General features: G+C 48.0%; 1 long non-coding RNA gene across 1 annotated transcript; it reads left to right on the plus strand.

Moving 5' to 3' along the window:
- The first annotated feature begins 469 nt into the window (after positions 1-469).
- LOC124907599 (uncharacterized) lies at positions 470-1,503 on the plus strand. Its single transcript, XR_007086058.1, has 2 exons — positions 470-984; positions 1,364-1,503. It is a non-coding gene; the product is annotated as an uncharacterized LOC124907599 (long non-coding RNA).
- Positions 1,504-1,778: the final 275 nt, after the last annotated feature.

Raw genomic sequence — 1,778 nt, forward strand, 5'->3', positions numbered from 1 at the left:
CATAATAGAAAACTGGGCAAAAGATTAGGCAAGTTATAGAAGAGAAAAATGAATAGCTAGTACATTCATGAAAAGATTCCAGCCTCACTAACAATCAGTAACATGTGAATTTAAACCACAAGGAGATGACCCAGTGATTAAGTGGCAAATGTTTATGCCTCACAGACAAAGTGATAGAGAATGCTGTCTTCTGCTGTCTTTGGGCATTGCCTCTGCCTGGGGGCTGTGCCCTCCACCTGTGGGTTTTGTGATTTATGGATTAAATCTGCCCGGTCTGTCCGTCTTCCACACTTCCCATCTTTAGAAACTTTTCATGCTCGTTTTCTAAGTCTTGGAGGATTGTTTAGTTTTGTTTTCTGTTTAGTTATTGAATTAAGTGTCCATTGCCACAACATATGACTAATTTAACTTGTGAATCTGTGTTAAATATATGTGATTACATATTCTGCTATTTTTCTTCCTTGCTCAGCCTTACAGAGAGGGAAGTCTGTGTTGTATATTGACTTCTAATCAAGTTATGGCCTCCATCAGAGATTACAGAGGTAGGCATATATCCCTACATTTCAAATCAAGAGAAAAAATAAGCAACGATGGCTTCACCTGCAAATGCATGTTCTTTGTTCGGTGAACCAGGAGACTGAGGGGCTGGGGTGACTCTCCTCCGGGCCCCTTTTCTTCTCTCTCTGGTGAGTACTGGGCTTGGGTCCAGTGCCTGAAAAACTGCCTCACTTGGGCCCAGCCTGCCCACATGTCCTGCCAGGTCTGGGACAAGCCCCCTCCGTCCCAGTGCTTTGTTCAGCATTTTGCCACCTTTTTGGTGCCTCTGCTTCCAGAGCCTGCAAACCCATTGTGGAAAGGAAAGCAGCGGGGTCGCCCGTGCCCCTCAGCCATGCCCAGCCCCAGCCTGTGGGTTTGGACAACCCTCCCGCCCGGGTCCTTCCACTGACTGACTAGGGGTGTAGAGACACTGCAGGAATCAGAACAGTGAGTTAGTCTCTTTGGTTTGGTTCCATCTCCACTGTGTCTAGAGAAATGTCAGGAAGGTTCATGCAGTGTCACGCCATGTCTCCTTTCACATGTGGCCTTTCTCCTGTGGCCCGTGCTAATCATTTCTGTGAAGCATTAGTGGACAGAGGGAAGTTACTGGGTGACATGGTTTGGATCTGTGTCCCCACCCAAATCTCACGTTGAATCGTAGTCCCTACTGTTGAGGCCTGGTGGGAGGTGGTGGGGCCATGGGGGTGGAGTTCTCATGAATGCTTTAGCACCACCTGCCTTGGTGCTGTAAAGTGAGTGAGTCCCCAAGAGATCTGGTTTTGAAAAGTGCGTGGCACCTCCCTTCTTGCTCTTCCTCCTGCTCCAGCCGTAAAAGGCAAGTCGGCTCCCACTTCGCCTTCTGCCATGATTGGAAGCTCGCTGAGGCCTCCCCAGAAGCAGAAGCCGCCATGCTTCCTGTACAGCCTGTGGAACTATGAGTCAATAAAAACTCTGTTCTTTAAATTACCCAGTCACCGGCATTTGTTTTTTAAAGCAATGTGAGAACAGACTAATAGACTGGGCTATATTCACTCATCCTCTAGGCAAGACATGTCTCCTAATCATCTAAGATTACATTTGGATTTTAATTCTATTCAGCAAAGGGTGTAGAAAGTGTTGTGCCAGGTGCCGGTAAAGACAGGAAAATAACTGAGCCACACAGGTGCTCTTGGGCAGAAAGCAGCACTGCATGGGTCAGACCTGCCGGCTCCCTGCCGCCCTTTAGTCAGTGGCTCCAGCCC

The sequence above is a fragment of the Homo sapiens genome, chromosome 2 (genome assembly GCF_000001405.40).
Source record: "Homo sapiens chromosome 2, GRCh38.p14 Primary Assembly".
Taxonomy (NCBI): domain Eukaryota; kingdom Metazoa; phylum Chordata; class Mammalia; order Primates; family Hominidae; genus Homo; species Homo sapiens.